The sequence below is a fragment of the Homo sapiens genome, chromosome 7 (assembly GCF_000001405.40).
Source record: "Homo sapiens chromosome 7, GRCh38.p14 Primary Assembly".
Taxonomy (NCBI): domain Eukaryota; kingdom Metazoa; phylum Chordata; class Mammalia; order Primates; family Hominidae; genus Homo; species Homo sapiens.
In genome coordinates, this window is record NC_000007.14 from 3815049 (window position 1) to 3840715 (window position 25667).

General features: G+C 40.0%; 1 protein-coding gene across 1 annotated transcript in view; it reads left to right on the forward strand.

The window, feature by feature from the left end:
- Nucleotides 1–25667, forward strand: part of SDK1 (sidekick cell adhesion molecule 1) — a 967749-nt gene that overhangs the window by 513797 nt on the left and 428285 nt on the right. Inside the window, exon 5 of the mRNA NM_152744.4 lies at nucleotides 6402–6535. Within this exon, the coding sequence (NP_689957.3) occupies nucleotides 6402–6535 (134 nt within the window). The remainder of the gene's footprint in view (nucleotides 1–6401; nucleotides 6536–25667) is intronic.

Here is a 25667-nt window from a genome sequence, read left to right on the forward strand (position 1 = left end):
TCGTCTGCAAACAGGGACAATTTGACTTCCTCTTTTCCTAATTGAATACCCTTTATTTCCTTCTCCTGCCTAATTGCCCTGGCCAGAACTTCCAACACTATGTTGAATAGGAGTGGTGAGAGAGGGCATCCCTGTCTTGTGCCAGTTTTCAAAGGGAATGCTTCCAGTTTTTGCCCATTCAGTATGATATTGGCTGTGGGTTTGTCATAGATAGCTCTTATTATTTTGAAATACGTCCCATCAATACCTAATTTATTGAGAGTTTTTAGCATGAAGGGTTGTTGAATTTTGTCAAAGGCTTTTTCTGCATCTATTGAGATAATCATGTGGTTTTTGTCTTTGGCTCTGTTTCTATGCTGGATTACATTTATTGATTTGCGTATATTGAACCAGCCTTGCATCCCAGGGATGAAGCCCACTTGATCATGGTGGATAGGCTTTTTGATGTGCTGCTGGATTCAGTTTGCCAGTATTTTATTGAGGATTTTTGCATCAATGTTCATCAAGGATATTGGTCTAAAATTCTCTTTTTTGGTTGTGTCTCTGCCCGGCTTTGGTATCAGAATGATGCTGGCCTCATAAAATGAGTTAGGGAGGATTCCCTCTTTTTCTATTGATTGGAATAGTTTCAGAAGGAATGGTACCAGTTCCTCCAAGGATACCCAGGAATTGAACTCAGCTGTGCACCAAGCGGACCTAATAGACATCTACAGAACTCTCCACCCCAAATCAACAGAATATACATTTTTTTCAGCACCACACCACACCTATTCCAAAATTGACCACATAGTTGGAAGTAAAGCTCTCCTCAGCAAATGTAAAACAACAGAAATTATAACAAACTATCTCTCAGACCACAGTGCAATCAAACTAGAACTCAAGATTAAGAATCTCACTCAAAGCCGCTCAACTACATGGAAACTGAACAACCTGCTCCTGAATGACTACTGGGTACATAACGAAATGAAGGCAGAAATAAAGATGTTCTTTGAAACCAACGAGAACAAAGACACAACATACCAGAATCTCTGGGATGCATTCAAAGCAGTGTGTAGAGGGAAATTTATAGCACTAAATGCCCACAAGAGAAAGCAGGAAAGATCCAAAATTGACACCCTAACATCACAATTAAAAGAACTAGAAAAGCAAGAGCAAACACATTCAAAAGCTAGCAGAGGGCAAGAACTAACTAAAATCAGAGCAGAACTGAAGGAAAGAGAGACACAAAAAACCCTTCAAAAACTCAATGAATCCAGGAGCTGGTTTTTTGAAAGGATCAACAAAATTGATAGACCGCTAGCAAGACTAATAAAGAAAAAAAGAGAGAAGAATCAAATAGACACAATAAAAAATGATAAAGGGGATATCACCACCGATCCCACAGAAATACAAACTACCATCAGAGAATACTACAAACACCTCTACGCAAATAAACTAGAAAATCTATAAGAAATGGATACATTCCTTGACACATACACTCTCCCAAGACTAAACCAGGAAGAAGTTGAATCTCTGAATAGACCAATAACAGGAGCTGAAATTGTGGCAATAATCAATAGTTTACCAACCAAAAAGAGTCCAGGACCAGATGGATTCACAGCCGAATTCTACCAGAGGTACAAGGAGGAATTGAAAGCAATTTTAGTTCTTGTCGTTGTACAGCTAAGGAAAGTTCATCAGTTTCTAAGTTGTCTGCCTTGAACTTGCTTAAATTGTGAGGCATGAGATCCAGATTATACTCAGAACACTAAGCCTTGGAATCAACCCTTTTAAAAGTTGCTTAATTAAAATGGAGAATATTTTGAAGTGGTTTTTTTTTTTAAGATTTTACAAACTAATATTCTGCATCTTCCTGCACGCTGACCTTCTGTTAATGTACTTGAAGGTCAATTGAAACTAGTCAAATGTTACTTTAAAGTTCGTAGTGGTAAAACTATAGACTCAAATTATGCTTCTATGTTTAATGGGCAAAGTTATTATTTTACTAAACATTTTACTGAATTTTCATCATAATGTATAAATTGATGTGGATATTACCACCCTAGTTTGTGGTAAGTGTTAAAGAGCAAAATACTTATTGATAACCAAAGACAATTTATATTTTCATGGAAGCCAACGGATGGGTTACAGTGCAAGTTTTGGGAGCTCATCATGAAAATGTTCACATCATGAAAATATTTCTGGACACCTCCTGGAACTCTTCCCCTTGGGTCCATAGATACTCTTAAGGGAAAGTTGTTAAAGTGCCCCCTGTTACTTCTTACAGCTTGTAAGTACACCCAATCGAAGCTCTATGGGACATGAACAGTGTGTCCTGGTTCAGGTTAGTGTCTCCTCCACTCTGAGCAGGGAGTGGGATTTCCAATAGTTGCTGATTAAATAGTGAAACAGTTACTTGATTCTGCTCCAGTGGTGATCAGGGTGAATGTATACTCTTACTCTTCCTTCCTGGTCTTCAGGCACCTATGCAGTGCCCAGTGGGCTGTTTTCACCAACCATAAATCCTGTGCTTCCAGGATTCCGACGTCAGTATCACATCCCTGAAGGCAGCTGATCTGGTGTGGTCTGGGGAAGGCCACAACCCCTGGCCATGCAAACATAGCAGGGAGCTTCCCAGTCGATGCCTAGCAAGGTGGCCCTCCCTCCCCCATGCCCAAGGGGTGGGTCTAGCCATCATCTCAATGCAGGTGGTCAGAGACCCAGCTAGCTACTCTCTTCCTCGGATTTCATCTTTTCTGAAATAGAGAACTATGATTTTGCCTAGCACCTCAGGAGAGTGTTGGAGAATCAAGTGAAGAATGGCCAGAAGCACTTAGCGAGTGCTCACTGGAAATGGTCTTCCTTTACTGAACTGCACAGATACTTTGCTCATCAGTCTCAGCAATGAAAAGCAACAGATTGATTTCTCTCTTGTGAAAACCCTTCCTGTGCTTATAATTCGTACCTCAGGACCGGTTAGCTTGTTCTTTATGATGTAGCAGTGTCTTCTCCCGAGCGGCAGCTCATCTCATCCATATTGTACTCAGTTATTTTTGTTCCTCTTCTCTTTACTACTATCCCATGGAATTGGGAGTTAAAATGATGAGGTTTCATTTTTAAATGTACAAAGATGGGGGAAGACTAAGGAAGTAATTTTATTTAAAGCCACACATACATTTGTTTCAATAAAGTTAAAGGAAAATCTCTCAGGCCAAATATTGTAATTTTTCTATGAAGTCAGTGTAAGTTTTAAATGTGTCATCTGGAGCTATGTTATAATAAGGCCAGGTAATTCATATTATGGGCAAAGTATTCAACTTTGCTACCATAATTACTCAGCATGCCCCTGTGTTCTTTTCATTACCTTCTGATAGCAAAAGTGATATTTATTGTGGAAAAACTGGAAAATATTTTAAAAGGTAGAATCAAAAGGAAATGGCCTGTAATTGTACCACTCAGACTAACCACTGTTAACCTTTTATGTGTACACACATATGTAGAAACAGATACATAGGACTTATTTGCAGTGCATAGAACCCTTAAATCCAAAAAAGATGTCATCGCATGTGCTGTTGTGAATCTGTATTGGAGTGTTTTGATTTCTAGTGACAGCAGCCCTAACTTATCACGGTTCAACAGGAAGTATCTGAGCTCATGAACCAGGAAGTCCCCAGACAGGACAGGCTGCTGGATGGTTGGTTCATTGGCTCTATGAGATAATGAAGGACCCAAGTGCTTTCCGTTCTCTCTATTCTGCTGCCACAATTATCAGCTTCATGTGAAGGTCATTTCTATCATGGCCATAAAATCACCACCATGAACACGTTGGACAAAATGATCAAGACCCACACCTGATGCTGGGAATGGGGCCAGCTCTCTTGTGTTGCATGGCTGGATTGCAGGGGGAAGGCATGGTTGCCACGACAAAATCAGGGCCGCTAAGAAAGAAGACAGGATGGGCACACGATACTTGCTTTAGTGTCTTTAAATATGGTTTTCTTCTTAAGGTTTACAGCAGTTACCAGAATTTAAAATTAAGATGAATGGTTTTGGATGTTTTATTTTCATTTAAAAAGTCAGTCTCTTGTAGAAATGCTCTGTTCAGAAAGATTTGGATAGGAACAAAGACTTGGTTTCTGGGAAATTAATCTTCATGATCTCCAAAGATGTAGCATTTTCATGGTGTCTTTTTGGCAGCAGCAGTTTTTTTTTTTTCATGAATTTTGGCTTAAACCTTTATAGAAATTAAAAACTAAAAGAAAAAGATAAGCTTAAAGATAAAAGTTATAATAGATGGAAACTTTAATATTTTTATCTTTATGTACCTTTTTATTTTCAATACTCTTGAAATAATGCCGTAAATAATATCGAGAATTCATGGATATTTTATAAGGATACTTCTGAGAAACAATAGGCATATTTGAAATTACTATGGTAAAAATCAGATGTCAAAGAAAAAGTTATATATTCAGTTTTTAAATTGTACTATTAAATGTGTAACTTCATGTGTAGTAAATATTCATATTTAATTTTAGCTGCCAGTGTAACATATACTAAAATAAAATGGAACAATTTCTATGGTTCTATAAAAGAATCTATAAAGGAGTCATAAATAATTATAATAAAACTCTATTGAAATATTTTTATGAGACTAAAAATTGAAAACTTCCTAATAGGGAAATTTTCATAAATGAGACATGAAGTAAGTCATAGAGACCTCAAACAGTAATATATCCTATGGGAACCCTGAATAAGCAATAACTTCTTAAGATAATTTTATATAATGTGTAAAAATCAAGAGTTTTTGAAAAAGCTCTGCAAAAGGTAGCAGGAAGAAAAAGGATTATTATAATGCTAAAATTCCTCATGAGAGATTACTCATTTTGCATGCTTTTGATGTTACCAGAATACAGATTTTAGATAATCTGAATCTGAAAGTGCTGTAACTATTCCCTATAGAGTACCACAATTGTGGTGGGTAACACAACTCACTCTAGAGACCTAAGATGTTTCTCTTGTTTTTGAAATAAGAGCTTAGACTAAATGATATTTTGGTGCTCAGAATGCATCTTACCTTCTATGCCAAATTCACCAGCCAATGAATAGTTTACTCACATTCATATTTTTTTTCTTTCTTTTTTGAGACAGAGTCTTGCTCTGTCACCAGGCTGGGGTGTGGCGGCGTGATCTCAGCTCACTTCAGCCTCCGCCTCCCAGGTTCAAGCGATTGTTCTGCCTCGGCCTCTGTAGTAGCTGGGACTACAGGCGTGTGCCACCACGCCGAACTAATTTTTGTATTTTCAGTAGAGATGAGGTTTCACCATGTTGGCCAGGATGGTCTCGATCTCTTGACGTCACAATCTGTCCACCTCGCCCTCCCAAAGTGCTGGGATCACAGATGTGAGCCACTGCGCTCAGCCCATACTTTTTTAAACAAATTTTACCACCCTCATCCACCTCTTTAACTGGCAAAAAGAATACGGAATTATAAGTGAAGGATCCCATAAAACACCCATTTCAAATAAAAGTTCCTTGGATGAATGGAAGTTGTGTCTTTCTTGTTTTTATTCTTTTTTAAAAATTAAGTAGTATAATGAGAGTCTTTCTATGGTATGATTGGATGAGTATTAATCTGCCTGTGAAAACACCTTCTCCCTTCTCTGCTGTTAAGTTGCTGTGTTACCTAAGACAAGCAACTTAACTTCTGTGAGCCTCAGTGGCGCAGAGAAAGGGCAGGTGCATTAAACGAGTCTCAGAGATGCCTTTCCCAGTAGAATCAGGATGAATGAGAAGGTCTTGGTCACGATCAAGAAGACTGTTTACTCATCCTTTGCACTTCTAAGACATGGTGAGATAGTACAGGTGAAAAAGACGTGGCCTGGAGTTAATAATGATGGTAGAAGTTAAGTTGAAGGGGGGCAGCACTGTGCCCATTGGCGACTTTCCTTCTACGCACCAGTGTAGATATCCATACACAAAGCCTCTGATGAGGCTCCCTCGAGGTGGAGAAAACCACAACTAATTCACTTGCGCTGGGTCAGGGTTGTGGTGGTCCAGCCTTCTAATTGAAGGGATTCCTTCTAACTGGTCTTGTTATGCATTCTCAGAGGAGGAACCTCTGAGTTTTAATGAACTCTGGATGTCTATGTTCCAGAACATTGTCTTCTTCACAGTCAGGTGCTGGCGCAGATGTGGAGCACCCGGTAGGCTCAGACACTGGGGCTGCAGTGTGCCAGCTGGATCAGAAGAGGCTCTCTCTGGCGTTGTCGTATTCTTAAAGTCGGCCTGTGTATTGTTTTTGTCCTTCCAGCTCTTCTTTTAAACTCTAGGCATTCCTTTATAGTTGGCCTAATTAATTTTGTCTTACAAGTAGGAAGTTCCCTGGAGTAGCTTTGACACTGTCCTCTTCTTTTCTGAAACAGAGCCATCACATTGGAGAATCAGCTGGTGATCCTCGCCACCACAACCAGTGATGCCGGGGCATACTACGTGCAGGCCGTGAATGAGAAAAATGGAGAAAACAAGACAAGCCCATTCATTCATTTGAGCATAGCAAGTGAGTTTTGAAATCCCAAATGGTAATTCTGCAAGCAATAAAATCTTGCTTTAATCAGTAACCACTGTCTGACAGGACATTTTGCAATAAATTTTCTCTCTCTAGTGTAGTAGTTACGGTTTAATATTGATCCAGTGCCAATAGTTCGGAGAGCTTTAGGGCTCTTGCTTTCTTCAAAATGATATGCGGAAAAATGTGAATCTCAGTGGTACTTCTGAATGCCAGATCTTTTTTGGGAATTAAAAAAAAAAGTATTTGCTTTTTATACACAGTCAATGCATGTTGTTCCTAACAACAAAGAACTTTCAATTTAAATGAATTGTATCCATGAACCTAAATCAGGACTAGATTAGATATACATTATATTCTTTTAATCTAACAGGAAAATCTTTGAGAAATTCTACCTATTAAGTTGTACGAAAATTAGCAGTATTTAAGCATAATCAGTTGATCATTTTTTCCACCTAATTTAACTGAAAGCCTGATTCTTGAAGACAATGCACACAAATCATGGGTATTTGTCGATTTTATTTGAGGGGACTTTAGTTTGAGTAAACTTAGTTTTACATGTTTGGACTTTAAATTCTACTAGCAAGAGTTAATTGCTAAAGAAGGGAAAATCACCCAAAGCAGGAACTCTGAACTAATCTAGATTCAGACATCCATATCAGAAGGCTTGTCATCAGATGTTTGCAGCATGAAGCTTCATGGTATGAAATGAAATTGTCATGCGGTTGAGAAAATAGGGTTGAAACTAGTCATGGCGGATGGTAAATTTCAAAATATTATTATCATATCATATGAGTGAATTATATTGATTTGTTTGTATAGTAGTGGATTTTATCTTTTTAAAAATTGTCTTGAAGGAATCGTTTCCCCTGCAAGTGATTTGAAAAGTATGTGGGGCTAGGCATGGTAGCTCACACCTGTGATCCCAGCAATTTGGGAGGCCAAGGCAGGCATATTACTTGAGGTCAAGAGTTCGAGACCAGCCTGGTCAACATGGTGAAACCCTGTCTCTACAAAAAATGCAAAATTAGCAGGCATGGTGGTATGCACCTGTAATTCCAGCTACAGGGGAGGCTGAGGCAGGAGAGTCACTTGAAACTAGGAGGTGGAGGTTGCAGTGAGCTGAGATCATGCCATTACACTCCAGCCTGGGCAGAAAGAATGAAATTCCATCTCAAAAAGAAAAAAAAAAAAAAGAAAAGTATGTGGGATGGAGTGATAGTATTTGCCTGACATGGCCCTCGAGGGGTACAATTGCCTTAGGCCCAGTAGAATTGCCTGGGTGAATCTTTGTAGCAAACTCTGGGTGCAGGCGTCTGTGGGAGTTAACTGAGTGGGGTCTCAGATGCCTGCCTAATTGGTCCCAAGTGGCCGTGATGTGCTGTCATCCTGCCTTGAGCTCCTTAATTTGAGGAATTGAATCTCGCTCTGCAGAACGTAGACTTGGCACAGATTTAGGATGAGTGGGGTCTTTGTGATGCCATGGAGAATGATGCACGTGGATTAGGGGTGGGGTTCACAAAACCCAGTGCATGCTGTACTGTGACGTAAAGGAGTGTCTGCATTGAGAATTACAGTAGAAATGAGGATGATTTATTAAGATTTTTTCCAAGGGTTATGATAAAGAATGGAAATTGTATTATCAAATAGATTGTTATTATTTTAATGATTCCAAACTTTACAGGTAGAGCCATTTATCTTGTTTAGCAAATATGAATCTGTACTCAATTGTAATATAACTACCAGGATAATAATGAGTCAAAGGGGGTGAAATTCTGCATCAGAAACAAGGAAGTTGGCCTTCCTCTGTTAGAAGAATTATTCCACTGAAACTGTTTAACATCACAAAGTTATAAAACAGTCCGTACCTAGTACTTGCCTACCTCCCTACTCTGTAAGGGCCAGCAGAAAATAAAGCGAGTACAGTGAATTTGCAAACCGCTGTACTAGCGTAATACCATGGTGTTAGATAATTGGAATATGTAAATTTTTTTCAGTAATTTCAGTTTCTACCCTGACCGAAAAGTATATTGAAAGCTACTCATAAATATTATAATTAACTGGGTTGCATTTTGTTCCTTTGTATGTATTTTTTAACTTTTCATTGGCACCAGGTAAAAATGTGTAAAAAGTGAGATACAAGGCAGTTGATGATATGGACTTATTTTAAATCTTAGGACAAAACCTACATTTTGTTCCTTTATGAATTCTTTGCTTTTTATGAGTGCCAGATAAAATGGGAGAAGTAAGGAGATTGAGGAAACTGCCTTATTTTAATTCTTAGGAGAACCTTCCTGGTGACATACGGGATTTACGTAAATGTTAAATGGCAACCAATTATGCTTTTTTGTTTTTTTGTGTTTTTTTTTTTTGTTTTTTTTTCTGCTAAAAGTTTTATTTTGAAAACCTCTAAAAGTCAGAAGTCTTGATTAATCTGCAGAATCCCCCAGAATTGTTTTAATTGTGCTTCTTTCTGGCATCCAGTGAGGGCTCTAAGCAATGAACACTGCAGTTCAGGACCTGGCCACCCTGCTCCTGGTGAGGGTGTGATGTATTGAAGGATGCGTCTCTTCACCAGATTTATTATGAAATTAGATATTCTCAAGACCTATTGATACTGGGAGTAAGATAGAGTGTGTTCTGCAGACTTAGATATCTTTTTCTTCTGATGTAGGCTTTTGTGGAAACACCACACAAGATTGAGGAAAATTTGTAAAAACTTTCTGGCCAGCGTTTCTGAAAAATCAAAAGATATTACAGCCAATTATCATTTAATGAAGATACATTTTTGCTTGCTGTCGGGAGAATAAAGCAGGGAACCTTTATGTAGTGAACACCATCGGGATGATCGGGTACTGGTAATTAAATTCCTGGTGGATTGTGCTGTAATTAGTTTAAAATCGGAGTGTCATGCAGCCCCGCCTCTTGTTTGCTGTTGTGGTAATAATCCGTTCCTTCCTTGAGGACAGCACCGTGTTAGAGTGGAGCGGCAACCAGGTCTAGCCCTGTCTCAAAACATCTAAATAAGTGATGCGCTGTCACCCAGCTAACAGGAGGAAATAATACATTTTCATCAACAACCTTGTACTTGAGAGTTCAAAAACGTCACCCCTTTTCAATTGCTAGATACTGTGGCTACACCTGAAGCTTATGGGAAGCAAAAGATAGATAGGTTTTAGATTTAAATTTTTTTTTAAAGAAAGCATGACTGTTAGAACTGAGATGCAGTCCCATAATGGTACCGCCTGCTGTTTAGTGCATATTTAGTAGATGGCATTATTATCTCTCAACATTTCTCCCCTCTTGCGTGGTTAAGAAGATAAATTCCAGCATGTTCTGAACCGATATTCCTGTAGGGAAGGAGAGGATTTCCCTGAACTCTCCACCCCGCTGCCCTGGTGAGAGCTTGCTGCCATCCCAGGGGTGGATCCACTTTGAAGTTTTAATGTGATGTGAAGCCAGCAGATGTTAAGGACATAGGTGGGACTGTTGAAGCATCCTGCATGAATTTTTCATGGCCAGCTCCCACTGCTCAGGTGCACACCAGAAAAAGAAGGGTTTGGGCCTGCCTGAGAGTAGATGTGTCTTCCGAGGTCAGACCCGGGAAAGCTTTATGAACCTGTCAACCTATTTTTGGCTTTTGCTTTGAAGATTTTACGTTGAGTTAACCTTTGTGGAACAGAACTTCTGAACTGAATTACTATGTGAATAAGAGTTTCTTCCTCTAAAAAAAAAAAAAAAAAAAAAAGCCACAGGCGATGAGACGAATTCTATACAGTGGTTAATCAGTCATTGTTTATACGCCATTGTACATGCCTTAGACATACCATCAGTTCTGATCCAATATTCAAAATGTCCAATGTAATGAGATTCTCTACTAGGGATGAAGCTTGGATTAAAAAGAAATGACTGCCTCTCTCCTTCCTGTTTTTTTCACCTCTTTCATTTTAATGTCTCCTCTTCAAACAACATTTGCAGATAGGATATCATTTCAGCTGATCCTCCTTCAGGCTGACAAACCCTTGCTTTTAATTCTGAAGACCACTTAACATTCTTTTGTCCTCTATAATGCTAATTTAACTGCAGACTCACGTAGGGTTAGTAGTTGAAAGTGGATTCCTGAGAATGTCCATGAACAGTCATTTCAGAGGACTGCCCTGTAAAACATGGCTTTTGTGTGCCCAGGTACAACTCTCTCCTATTTTCCTTGTACCGTTAACATTAAAGGGAGAGAGGGGAACAGGCAGATGCCTTCCAGATGGCCTCTGACTTGGCTCGGGTTCCTAAAACAATAGGAACTGTTTGAAATATTACTAAAAACCAATCTGGGGCCTAGCCCCACATCACAAATGAGCAATTTAGAACCAAGCATAGTTTTATAGATTGTATGACACTTTACTGCCAGAATTTTTCAGAAACATAAATAGGAAGTCTATTTTATAGTCAAGTCATGAGTTTAATCATTTAGCCATGCATCGAACCTGCTGTACGGAGTGAAGTGTGAGGCATGCTCTGCCCTGGCCTCCTGAGCTGGTGTTGGACAGAACTAAGTCTAGGCCATGGTCCCTAATGCTTTTCCGTAAACACACCATCAGGAAACAAGCCTTGAGCATTTACTCCTTATGCATGAACACCTAGTTACTTATCAATTCTAAGCATTAACCATCAGACAGAAGAGAGGACGGGAATCAGCAGTGCTAATCATGAAGGTTCCGTTCCGTCTTTACTTGACGTCTCATGGCGCAATATGCACTTTGTGAATGGAAATCCATATTTTACTTGATTTTCTTGATACAATCTAGTTTTTTGGAAAAATTCTTATGACATCTGGTTACAGATAATTGTTTCTTCTTGGCGACGTGGCTTCTACTAACGACACAAGTGTTCCTGCTGCCGTTTGTTGCCATCTGATTGTGCTGGTGTTGTGAGTGACTCAGATCTGTGCTTTCTTCCCAGAAATGCCGTCGTCTTCAGTTGTCCACTTTGTGAGAGTTAGTTTAGATAAAACGAAATACACAAATACATAAATCCACCTCTCCGGGCAAAGGTGAAACTGCATCCCATGCCTATGAGGGCATCCTGTCCACTTCTCTGACAATGAGAATTTTCAGACCCTTCCTTGGGATAGCTTGCGTACAGAGTGTCACCTGGGGCCACCTGACCAACAGACTCAACCTGCATAATAAATAACATTGAAACTTAGTTTCCTTCTTGGGCTTTCGGTGAGAAAACATAAGTTAAAATACTAGGTCTAATATTTCGTTTCTGCGCCCCAAATGGATGGATTGGGGAATGAGTTTTAGAAGAGGAGTGTAGCTGGTGGCTCCCAGCAAGACTTCACTCACCACAACAAAGACCATCATTCTCTCCTCACCCCACAAGGCAAAACCGGATGGTTTCTATTGCCCACTCATGCCTCCTTCACCATATCCCCATCTCTTTCCATCCCAAGGTGTCCCCTTTTCCCCTGTGTGATTTATTTCAACCTGATTTCACTGTTGTTAAATCTTAGGAAATCTAATCTGTCTTAAATCTTAGGTTAAGCTATGATCATTTGCCCTCAAAGTTTGAACACATATGGGGGAAGCTCAATATGCCCGGTTTCCCAAAGCAGCAGTCACTGGTCTGAGTATCACTCAGGATACATATAGATTTCCAAGGCGTAGGCAGGCATGTAAAATTTCCAAAGAACCTATTTTCAGTCCTTTCATATTCACATTCTAAAACTGGATCTGAGGATGCCTGAGGTCAAATTTTGCAACTGCTCCTTTCTTTCCGAACGAGATGGAAGGCTCGTGTCTTACTCATCCTGAATCTTTAACATGGGCAATTATCTGAGGGTGTAAATGCCCAGGTGCCAACCAAAGGGAGAATTCTAAATATCAGGGGCAGAATTGAGAAAGTGAAAGACTCTGATAACTGAGAGATAAATGATTTTATAAATCAGGTGTTTTCAATCTTTTGCTGTCTACAAAACGAGGTGGGACCTACGTGTGTTGTCAGCTGACACTTCATTACAAATAACTTGATAATTACTAACTGTAACACAGTCCACTTGTTCTCAGGACGGAAGAGATTTCTAGCCCCTTTGCAGGTGCAGGGCCATGTCAGTGGAATAAAGTGTCACTTTCAGGCCATGTGTTTAAGAGCCAATGTGTTACCTTCATGCTCTCCCTCCCCTTTGGGGACAACCATGGCCAGGCCACATATTGAGCCACAAGATGGAAGCTGTCTGGATATTTGAATCAGTACAGGGGAAGAATAGCCTGGGAGGGCCACCCAAGCAGAATTGGACTCGTTATGAGTAAGAAACAAACCTTGGTATGATAAGCAGTGAGATTTCAGCATTTATTTGTTATTAGAACAAAGCACGTCTGTCCTAACTAATACATTACTATATGACAACAGGGCGCATTGCCTCACGCCTGTAATCCCAGCACTTTGGGAGGCCAAGGTGGGCGGATCACCTGAGGTCAGGAGTTTGAGACCAGCCTAACTAATATGGAAACTCCATCTCTATTAAAAATACAAAAATTATAACTGGGTGTGCTGGTGGGCTCCTGTAATCCCAGCTACTCAGGAGGCTGAGGCAGGAAAATGAATTGAACCTGGGAAGTGAAGGCTGCAGTGAGCCGAGATCACTCCACTGCACTCCAACCAAGGCGACGGAGCAAGACTCTCAAAAAAACAAAAATAATAATAATAAATAAATAAATTACTATATGACTTTTGGCATATAACTTAGAAGGAATTTAAAAAATTGAGAGATATTCTATAACAAAATTTCTTCCATTTTCATCTGTTGCTTTATATGAACGAAATTTTATCTATGAAAAAGAAAAGATTAGAATTAAACTTTATTCCTCATGTCATTGAGAGATGCATTTCTAGTTTTTTAAAATATAAAACCTATTCATCAAAATTTGTAATACTTTAAAAAATTAATTGAATGTCAATAATAATTGTAACAATAACTCAATCCAAGAGAAGGTTTGTTTTGGTTTGGTTTGCCCCCGAGTCATATGGTTAAAAACATTTTTTTAAGAATTTTTTGTTCTTTTTTTTTTTTTTTTGTTTTTTTGACACAAGGACTCTGTCACATGGACTGGAGTGCAGTAGTGAGATCATGGCTCACTGCAGCCTCTAACTTCTGGGCTCAAGCAGTCTTGCTGCCTCAGCCTTTTGAGTAGCTGGGACTACAGGCATGAACCACCATACCTGGCTAATTTTTTAATTTCTTTTTTTTTGTAGAGACAGTCTGGCTATGTTACCCAGGCTGGTCTCAAACTTCTGGCCTCAAATAATCCTCCCACCTTGGCCTCCCAAACCACTGGGATTACAGGTGTGAGCTACTGAACCCCACCAAGATTGAAGTTTATACGCATAGTTTTTTCAGAGGCTGTGATATGATTAATACAATTCTTTGAATCATGTGTTTTTTAAATGGGTGATGCTGTGTATCAAATGTTTAGACGTGCTTATCAAATATTTAGATTCCTTTGAATACATATAGATGCGCTGCGGTAGTTTTATTAAAATATACTGAAATAGTAAAACATTAAACTATACCAGAAATTATGTTCTTTTTAGTCCTTCAAATTTATGATGAAAAAATGGTAGATGTCAGCTTAAAATGTAAGAAAGATACACAGTTTTACAAAATTGTTTTAGGTGATCTAGGAACAACAACTGTTTGAAGCTATATGCAGATGTGATTATAAATCACACATGAGAGTACTGTTGATGACCCTCTAAGGGCATACAGAGAGGAGAAGGCCCTAACATGTCTTGAGACCTGACAGATATCGTCACGTATATTTTCCTTCTTAGATTCCACGACAGCCCTGTGAGTTAACAATCAACTCTGTTTCAAAGCTGAGGACACTGAGGCTCTAAGAGGTTAAATTATTGACCCAGATCACAAGAATAGTCAATGGGAAGTTTGAGGATTCAAGCCAAAGTTTATTTGTCCCCCTCCCAAAACCCTCGTTTCTCCAATGAAAGCAGAACAACATATACCATGGAGGCTGGGTGTGCTCTTGAGGTCAAAACGTGTCCAAGAGAGAAGCCCAAGGAGAAGGCAAAACTTGGGAGGAGGCCATCCAGCAGGAAGGCTCTCTGCGAAGAGCTCTGTGTGTGCAGACCTCAGAGGAGCTTGGTTTTGTTTTAAAAAAGGAAGTCTTCTGTTCTGATATCAAAACCACTCCCGATCAACATTCATTCCAGAGAACAGCAGTGTGCTGTGGCTCAGCAGCTTTGAGGCTGGCACCCTTTTGCAACCCCAGTGAGGCACGTTTGGGCGGACAGCAAACACAGGTTTGGCTCAAGGGTGCAGTGGGAGATGCACTGGAGTCAGTGCTTACTAATGGAGCATCAGAACAATAAGTCACAATTTCTGATAACAAAGTGGTTGTTTTGTTATCAGTAATGCATTAGACAGCACATAGGACATAAAGTAAGACATGATCTGTCCCAGTGGATTTATATGACTGATGTGCGTGATTACACTCCCTAATTCCCAGATATTGACATCGAACTGTTGTGGCAGATTTTGCACAGTGAGTAAACTTCACCCAGGGAGTAAGGCAAGCACTTGGAGAATTAATTCACCAAGCAGAACTGACCAGTTGGGTTCAGCAGACGGACGATGAGTATTCATTTACGTCTCCCAATTATGCTGCGATTATTGAAAGATACAAATTATTCAGTAGTGATTTGCCTAATCGGATTTTTTACAAACTCCTCCACATAGCTCATTGTTAGTAATTCCTCCAATCTACCTTCCCTTCTGTCCCCTTGTTAAATGTCTCAATTTAAATTATTATATTCAGATATTTAAGCATAAGAGTTCTTTAATTTTAGCAGTTTGGGGGCTAGAACTTAAAGTAACCCTAATTTTGTTTTGTTTTGTTTTGTTTTTGGAGACAGGGTCTTGCTCTGTCACCCAGGCTGGAGTGCAGTGGCACATTCATGGCTCACCACAGTCTCAACCTCCTGGGCTCAAGCGATCCTCCCACCCCAGCCTCCTGATTAGCTGGGACTGCAGGTGTACACCACCACACTTGGCTAATTTTTAAAAAATTTTTGTGGAGACAGGATCTGCCCATTGTTGCCCACGCTGGTCTTGAACTCGGGCTCAAACAGTCGTCCTGTCTCGGCCTCCCAAAGTGCTGGGATTACAAGAGTGAGCCACTGCACCTGGCCTAACAATTTTTACCTTTGATTTTGGAACCTAATTTCTTAGACTTAGCCAGCAGCGAATGCCTGATTTCAGTTTATAGGGAATTGAAGATAATTTCATTGTGGAATCATATTATGTAAACATAACATTTCAGAGTATGTAATATATTGAGAGTGACCCAAGATTATAACTTATGCATTTTCTTTCTAGCTCTTATCACTCTAGATGTATAGTCATTGAAGTACTTTGTCTACTCTCCTTGTCTCTGTAATTGATATGAAAGATAAGGAATTTTTGGAGGGCACAAACAAGGGGGATGGAAAATTGAATTTTTCCTGCAGTCATTTTACAATCTCTGACATACATCCATTACACAGCTTGTCTGGAAAAATCCTAAGCAAAGTGATGGTTATTGGCCGAGATGAGACCACATAGAACAAGTTGCTAGTTGTAAATGTACTTTTCTTAGAAAAACTGTATTTACTCAGTAGTTGAATACAGCGATGATTCTGGTGAATTTCCTGGGGTTCAGCTTTTAGTTACTTTCTAGACTAAATGGTTCTACTCGTACCTTCCCAGTATGATTTTTCCTTTTACGAATGAGTTCAGTATTCTGAAGCTGCTAATTAAGAAACACCTGTTTAATTTCCCTTCCTTCAGAATTCTTAAGGTTTTCAAAATCCAGATTGTGTGAGTTGCTAGGCTAAATTGTCTTTTCATATCTCCTCTTTCAGAAAAATGAAAATATATTATTTTCTGATTCAAAGGGAGCACCTAGAGTGGTACCAACCTCTTCAATCATAACATGGTATTTTTGCTGAGTGTAGGCCTGATATCCTATGGTTTAACTTCAGTTTCCAATTTTAAGGACAGAAAGATGTGATTTGGTTCAAAGCATAATGAAGGCTTATTGTAGTAATAGTAACAACAGCTGTTCATTGGATGTCTGCTGTATGCCCTGTATGTAAATATCGTATCTCATTAAAAAAAAAATTAATCACCCGGGCATGTTGACTCATGCCCAGTGCTTTGGGAGGCTGAGGCAGGAGCATTGCTCGAGCCCAGGAGTTCAAGACCAGTCTGGGCAACACAGGGAGACTCTGTCTTTAACAACAAAAACAAAAAAAACGTGCCAGGTGTGGTAGTGCATACCTGTGGCCCCAGCTGCTCAGAAGGGTGAGGTAGGAGGATCACTTGAGCCAGGGAGGTCAAGGCTGCAGTGAGCTGAGATCACACCACTGTACTCCAGCCTGGGCAACACAGCAAGACCCTGTCTCTTAAAATAATAATATAATAATCATAATAACCACCATTTAATCATCGTTTTTAATAAACAAGAGGCCATAAGGTCAGTATTATCCCCTTTTTGCAGATGAGGTAACAAATCAAAGCAACAAGTTACTTTCACTAATCTTATGCAGTTGATTACGTGGGTTAGTTTTGAACCCAGGTTTGTCTTTTCCCCAAAGAGACTTTCACCATTTTACTTATTGAGATGATTTATATCGCAGAACTGTTTTTGATTTTTAAAATCATGTTGTAATTTCTTAATCTGGCTGCTGCTGTAGTGAATGCAGCCTAACGATTGGTCACCTTTTGGTAGCAGTTCAACTCCACCTTTACCACTTAGTCATAATGTTTTATTACTGTTCATTGTAAACGATGTTCTTTTGGCTCTTGTAGAAGGCAATTACAGCAGGTAATTAAAATTGTAGTTCTTTACAATGTGTTTGAGAATATTAAATCAAGCCCACAGAAAATCAGGTAAAGTATCTGTTAAAGTGAAAGGCCACTTAACAATGCTGAAGACCATTAGCAAATCCAGAGTGCTATATTCCCTGCTTTTCCAAGAACACTTCGTATCTGAGATGTAAAGAAATGGAATTTATATCAGAAATAATAGGAACCAGAAATTTATCTGGAGATGTAGATTCTTTCTGTGTGTTCTAATTAGTGAGTTCTTCGCAATAGTCTCTCTCTCTGATTCTTTGTTATTTCAGGTAATTATTCTGCCTGCACCCCTTTACCTTTTATGATCTTGAAGAATACCCTGTTTAGCACAAAATTAGTTCCTTCCAATCTAGTATACCTCTATGTTTGGCTGAGAGGGTCTTAGGAAAGTATAAGAAAGCCTGTGACCTCTGCTTGTCAGTGTAAACTGTTATTTTGCCCAGGAATAACTAGCAAGTGTAGCTTTTTGAGACGGATACCAAAGATATTATTTTATGTAGTTTTAGAGCATCATAAAAATGTGAGCTGGGAATTCCCTAGCTCACCTCAGTATTAGGCCTGCATGACCATCTGGGAAGTGTGAAGGCTATAACGGTTTTGTGGTTTTTCTAGGGAGGAAGATACAAATGTCAAAACTGGAAGTGCGGAACTCTAGAGAAGCTCTTAAAAGAATGAAGGCTTTTCCATTTTAGTTCCTAAGTCGAACTTAAAGAGTAGGAGTCAGAGCTGACATAAGTCAGTAATGGCGAGCATCCGGCTGGCCCCGTGCGGTAGTTTGCTGTTTCACTGATGATGTATTTTGTTGAGGTGTGTCCCATCTGACATTAACGGCCATGTCTGGTATTAAATGCCCTTCTCTTTCTCCAACAGGATGTCACTCTGTGGTTCTATTAATTCAGACAGGGTTGAATTTCACAAAGGCTTGCTTTCATTTGGGAAAGTTTTCAGCACAAGTGTACTCCAGAATTCAAACTTCTTCCTTTCTAATCCTTAAAACATTGGGATGTAAAGAAATGGAATTTATATCAGATTTATATATATCAGAGACTTATATCCTCATTAGTCAGAATGATGTAGGAATAGAAACCATATGCATAGGTTGCCCTTTGGTGATTGGTTCATTTCCGAAAGCTTAAGGAGTTTCATACTTCGTTAGCCTACTCAAGAAAACTTCACTTGTCTTGAACTGAGAAAATGCCACATGCAAAAATGGTACCATCATATTTGAAAATGTATGAAGCGAATAGGCAGTATTCTGAGTCTTTTGTTTCTTTGTTCATTTTACTTACAGTGTTTGTAAAAACCATGACAGCATGTTCTTGATGAAAATCTAGGAAGCAGTTCTACTTGAACCCTAGCCTGGCATTAGATGACCTGGATCCTATTCACCTCTTCAGTTTGCACTTGAAGGATGGATATTAAGCCATGTTGCCCCCACTGGCCTCCATTTTGATTGGCTAGTGACCCTGCCATGTTACTACAGATTTTGAATATCATCTCAACCTGGAAGGATACTGAGGGATGCATATAAGAGTAAACTTATTATAGAGGGAAACAGCTGGCATACTGGCATCAGCCTACACCATTTTCAATGTCTATGTAGAAGAACCAAGGGAAGGGTTGAAGTATGATTTTCTTTGGCTTTTAGAGTCTCTGTCTCACTTCTGTCCCTAAGTGTATGATTCTCCCCAACTCCCTGCCCTTTAAACACTCAGACTACAGTTCTGCTATTCCGCTCAGAAAACGCTGAGCGTCTGATACTTATCAGGCATTACGCTTGATGCCGAGGACACTTGGTGAATATGACATGTGGTTCCTGCCTTCCCTGAGCTCACTTTTGCCAGGAGAGGCTGGCGCACCAGGAAATGACAGGAACACAGTGTGTTAAATGCCACACGAAAGGGAGTTGTGTAGAAGAAGCTTCCGAAGCACAGGCAAGGGAACGATGAATTCTGCTTCCGATGCTGGAACAGCTTTGTTAGCAGAACTCTGAAAATCTTTTCTTTCACGTATGGAGGGATGCACCAGCAGTGAGATGATTAGGAAAAGGGGGTTGGGGTAGAACAGCACTGTCTATGACCGGGAACTGCCATAACCACCGTCCTTTCATTTGCTCCCTTGTTATAAATATCAGTGCCCCCCAGGAAGACTCTGCATTTAATACAACCCCATTCCAAGAGAATCCTTATTGATAATTGTTTTTCATCACCCACTAGAACGTAAGTTCCGCGAGGATAGGGATTTTTGCTTATTTCCGCAAGCCACGGGAAGAGTGCATGACGAGTAATAAGGGCTCAGTAAATACTTGTCCAGTGAGTGCATGGAAGCCTGTGAAGTGAGGCCTTTTTACCCTCCCTTTCCTGGTCCCCTCTCCGTCCCTGGCATCTGAGGATGCTGCTCACCGGCTTGTTCTTCCTGTAGCTCCTTTTCTTTTGGTGTTTATTGCTCCTTTTGGCTCTCCTCGTCCCAAGATGTGAGGATTCTCCAGCCTTTAGTCCTTTGGTGCAATGTTTTCCTTTGTTTTTCTGCCTCTCCTTTTTCTCCTTGGAGATCGCACTCAAGACTCTTGAGACTTCACATATCACAGTTGATCAAATGTTATCTCTAGGCCTGAATAGCAGCCTGGGCATTCAATCTTTGGTAAGTATAAAGTAGGACAAGTGACTTGAAGGTCACTCTGACTCTAAAATTCTGATATCTTCTGATGTTTGAGCTTCTTTGTCTGACTTAGTAAGGTGCCCGAAGATAGAAGGCGTGTCCACATGCATTTCCTCAATTATCGACTCATGTTTCTTCTGTTTTATGACTGCATTTGACCTGCTGGTTGCGGGCGTCCCTCTTTGTCTCAGTCTTACTCATCAAATTAATCATGCTGCTTCTGGATACAGTGGCTAAACCTTGCCCTGTTGAACCTAATATCAGGGACAGTGTGCCGTGAGATGGGCTTTACTACGTTGCTGGACACTTTCACTTGGAAATTAAATTAACCTGCCTCCGTATACTTTCTATCCCAAAGCTATTTTTTCTCCTAAGTTCCCTAGGAAGTCCTCTCACCCCCCTTCTATGTTTTCAGCTCTTACCTATCCTATCCTGAACTCTTAGCATAAGTCCCTGCTTCTGGAAGAATATTCATCTCTCTGTCCATCTGTGCATTCAGAAATGCATTCATTAATTCATTGACTCAAGATGTATTTACTGAGTGTTCACTAAGCATTATAGGCATTGAGGATATCATGATTGAAGCAGACTGGTTTCTACTCTCAGAGCTTTTGTTGGTGGAATCAAAAGACAAACAAGCAATTTCAATATGGATTGGGATGTTCTAAGTCAGGGAATAGTAATTTTCCCACACATCCTGAGTTTCTGCCACTTACATTTTCAAACCTTTGCCTGTTTTAAAGACAGGATTGATAAAGACACAGTAAGGTCAAGACACACAAGATTGTAGGCTGAAGAAGTGCTTCCTTGGAAAGACTTCACAATAGCTCTTATTTATATGAGTATTGGTATAGGCTTATATAGAGAAAATATGGGAGATTTCTCAGAGATGGACTGTGTTATAAATAGAACAAATCAGTCAAATTACAGCTTTCAAGCCACAGGCCTCATTAGTCTCATGAGCAGGGCCCTTTGTGGGCAAACTGAATGAGCCACGTGGAATAACACTCGTGTTCATGTTTTGCAAGCTCAACATGTCAAACTGTAGTGTTAAAATGAGTTGCTTTACAAATGAGCTATAAATATTAGTTCTGCATCTCCAAGCCATTCAATATGCAATTGTGAAAACTGATATCCTTATAACTTATGTATAAGTCACATATATAACTTATACACATATACATAACTTCAATGTACGAGTGAGTAAAAAGTACGGCATTAGTCAGTTTGAGTTGCTGTACAAGATACCCATTCATTAATTCATTGACTCAAGATGTATTTACTGAGTGTTCACTAAGCATCATAGGCATTGAGGATATCATGATTGAGGCAGACTGGTTTCTACTATCAGAGCTTTGGTTGGTGGAAACAAAAGACAAACAAGCACTTTCAATATGGTTTGGGATGTTCTAAGGGAACATGTAGAAGCAACAGGCTAAGATTCAGAAACATTTCTCTCCAAATGGGAAGTTTTCTAACACAAACACCCAACTTAAGAACAAAGAGGCAACCTCTCATCCAAAAACATCTGCCCCTCACATTGCTTTCAATATGCAATACCTTAAAATTCCACAATGAGTATTTTCCCAAAACAAAGAATAGACCCTCCACAGGAAAACTCAAGTCTCTTCCTTAGGAGACTGGGTGACTTAAACAACAGATGTTCATTTTCTCAGTTCTGAAAACTGGAAGTCCAAGATGAAACCAGCTTTGCCAGCCAGGTTGGTGTCTCGTTGGGGCCTCCCTTCCTGGCTCTTAGAGAGCCACCTTTCCACTGATCCTCACGTGGCCTCTCTGGGCATTGGGGGTGCAGGAAGGGAGGCGAGCTTTAGAGAGCTCTGGTGTCTCTTCCGCTTCTTATAAGGACCCCTGTCCTCTTGTGTTAGAGACACCGCATGATCTCATTTAACCTGAGTCACTTCCTTAAGGGCCCTGTCTTCAAATACAGTCACAATACAGGTTAGGGCTTTAACATAGTAATTTTTTTACAGCTCAGTCCATAACGACTTACACATTTCTTATTCCTATTGCATTTTCTTTCCTAAAGTACAGTATTTCTCTAGATCAGAAGACCCGACTAGACATTTGTGGCCTGGATTTGCTCCTTGTGTTTTATTTAGCCCACACAATACCTTAAAAATACATGAGCCAATATTTAACAGCTGGGAGAACATTTTCCAGCTTCTCTTAAAATATGTGGCCATGCTAGGACCCCTTTCCCCAGTTTAAACAGTCTGTGCATTCTCCTAAGGAAGAGACTTGAGTTTTCCTGTGGAGGGCTCTATTCTTTGTTTTGGGAAAATACTCACTGTGGAATCTTAAGATATTGCATTTTGAAAGCAACTCTAGGGGCAGATGTTTTTGGATGAGAGGTTGCCTCTTCGTTCTTGAGGTAAGTTGGGTGTTTGTGTTAGAAAACTTCCCATTTGGAGAGAAATGTTTCTGAATCTTGGCCTGTTGCTTCTACATTAGCTGGCTCTGGAAGCATTTGAGGTATGACCCATGATCCAATAGGAGTTGCTGTGATGATGGAAATGTTCTCTATTTTTACATGGAGCTATTGAATACTTGAAATGTTACTGTTGTGACTGAGGAAGTGAATTTATAATTTAATTTAAACTTTTTTATTTTGGTAACCTCATGTGGCTGGATGCTACTGTATTGAGCAGGACAGTTTTATAAAAATGCATAGCATTTTGCATACAAAAGGGATTCCTAGTCAAACTGGCCACATGACCCATCATTGAGCTTTATTCGCTCCTGGAGTGATCTAACAGTGGTAAGAGCTTGTCCTGACCAGGAAGACTTGGACTCCCAGGTCCCCTTGAGAGCCCTTGCACATATGAGCAGGATACCTCCCTGTATTTTGTATACTGAAGATCCATGGTTGGGGAGCCCTGTGTGCTGGGAGACACTCCCTTAGCAAGTATAGCCGCTTAGTCATTTGCCAGGCTGTTGCATTGCATGCATTCATGGTCTATAGTAGTCTGTATTAATGAGACCCCGAAGAGATGGTTGGTACATAGCCTGCATGGCTGTACACAGCAATCCGGATTAATTCATCAGTTATGCCCGGTGCCAGGCACGGAAGTTAGGGAAGTCAAGGGTGAGATGGTCATCTAGATGGGTGACTAAAGCGAAAGTACCTGAGCCACGGTTGAGAGAAGCACAGTTTGCTCTGGAAAACCCAGCATGGGGCACCCAGACACATCAGTGGGAATTGGAAGGTTTCCCCTGAGAGACGATGTTTAACTGAGACCTAAAGGTTGAGTAAGAGGCAGTCAGCTGAGGCATTGGGAAGAGGTCATCCTGGCAAAGGGGAGCACAAGGCTGGAGTCAGCAGGTGCCTCTCTGTTCACAGACTTGCAGCTCACCTGCTACTGTAGATAGAAACAAAGCCCTGCTTGGCAGAGGGTGCAAACAGAACTGTCTATGACCAGCCTCTGGAAGTTCAGGGTTCCACATAAACACTGATGGTCCGGTGTTGCCAGCCCCCGTCCCTGAACACAGCGATCTGAGGGAGCTGATGGGATGCTGCTCTCAACTGGGGCATCACCTCATCCTGCTCAGGTCTCAGCAGTTCCAAGCTGTGTCCCTCACTAGGAGACCATGCAGTGGGTGTCGATCAAAATGTTTGCACTCTTGTCTTTCTTATAGTAGAGAAATCCTTTAATATAACCAAGTCTCTATCAAAAACAGGGAAATATAAGTTAGACAATGAAGGAGGAGAGTGTCTCTGACTGCCCCATCAAGTTATTGATGTTACCTATCTGCTCGGGCCCTGAAGGCATTCGTTTGGGCAGAGGCACGTCCTGTCTGCTCCCTACAAATAGATGGTGTTCATCTAGAGCAGGGATCTTCACGTCAGGCCTCAGTGACTCCAGGGGATATTCAGCAGTGGATGGTTCTCAGGGAATCCACATCCTCCATTTCCATGTGTACTCTTTCCTGGGATGGATCCGCCTGAGAACACGCCTGGGGTCTTCCCTCTCAGCTGTCCTTTCACGCTTGCTTTTCTCCCTCCTTGCAAGGGAAAGGCATTCCTCCCAGCAAACCCTCCTCTTCCTTGTTGCATTGCTCTGGCCTGTAGAACCCTTTGCTTTCCAGACAGAGGAGAATTTCAAACATTAGGGTCGGTATTGAGAAAGTGGATGGCTTTAATAAGTGGGTAAGAAATCCCCTTGCGAGCCAGAGAGCTTAGAATTCTTGGTTTTCAAGAGAATTGAAGGTGAACCCAATCAAGTTGTCAGCCAATAGATCATTAAAAATAATGTTTGATGATAAATCACTGAGTGACGATGGGCATAACAGAATGCTGTCGAGGAATTGGGTGAAATTGTTAAAACTGTTAAAACTCCTTCCTTCCCATCTGTTTATTTATGAAAATAAGTTTTCTCCATGCATACATTTATAAAAACAAAAAAATAGAAATAAAATTGATGCTGAACACTTTTTCAATTTACCTAGAAGTAATATCCATCCATGAATATATGAACTAATTAAAAAAAGAACATTCCCATTTATCTCATTGAGATGTATTTCCAGTAAATTTTACTTTTCTTATTCAATAATTATTTGTCACAATGTATAATGATGTGTGATGGTTTGATTAATTGTGAATAGCAATTATGATGGATAATCAAACCAGTTTTTTTAACATTTAGTTTTAGAGTCACAGGAAATTTTAAAAATTATTGTAATATCTGTCTTTTTGCTATAAAGAAGTGTAGTACAGTGATAAAGCTTTCAAGCTTAATATATATTACATCAAATAAAACTCTGAATTGAAGGAGAAGAAGGAATGATGTAAAATTTGCAGTTGTTAAAAAGGAGATTTTTAAATGGTCATTGGTAGGTATCAAATCAAAGTGGTCTCTGGGTCCCTCCGTATGATAGAAAAGAGTGACCTAAAATTTTACAGTACACTAGAAATTAAAACACTTAAATGTAAACTTAAAATATGTGAGAGGGACATCGTTTTTCAAAATTTTTATGGAGTACCTGGGCAAAAATATCTGAAGGCCATGTTCAGTGAAAGTGGTAATAAGAGGCATATGCGTAATTTTAAACCAAAAGTTGAAACAGAGTGGGAGGAGCGGAAGAGGAGGGGGAGAAGAGAACATGTTGGGCCAATATATTTAACAATAATCATCAAGAAATAGGAAAAGACAAAACAAAAATCTTTTAAATATCTAACACTGTTTTTTCTAATGCTACATGCCCATGAAAATCACCTGGGCTGGGTCAGGACTTTGTTTTAGTCCTCAGGTGATTTTAATACACAGCCAGGGTTGTGAATTATCGGACTAAACTCACAGAGTGGTCCTTGGGCTAGTACTATCAGCATCATCCTGGGAACTTGTTAGAAATGCAGAATTTGGGGCTCCATGTCAGCCCTCCTGAATCAAATCCTGCATCTTAACAAGATATTTAGGTGATTCATATGCACGTTAAAGTTTTAAAAAACCAAGATTTCCAACAAGCTCCCAGGTGATGCTGATACTGCGGTTCACGGACAACTCTGGTCACGGACTACGCTGGGTAGCAGAGTTC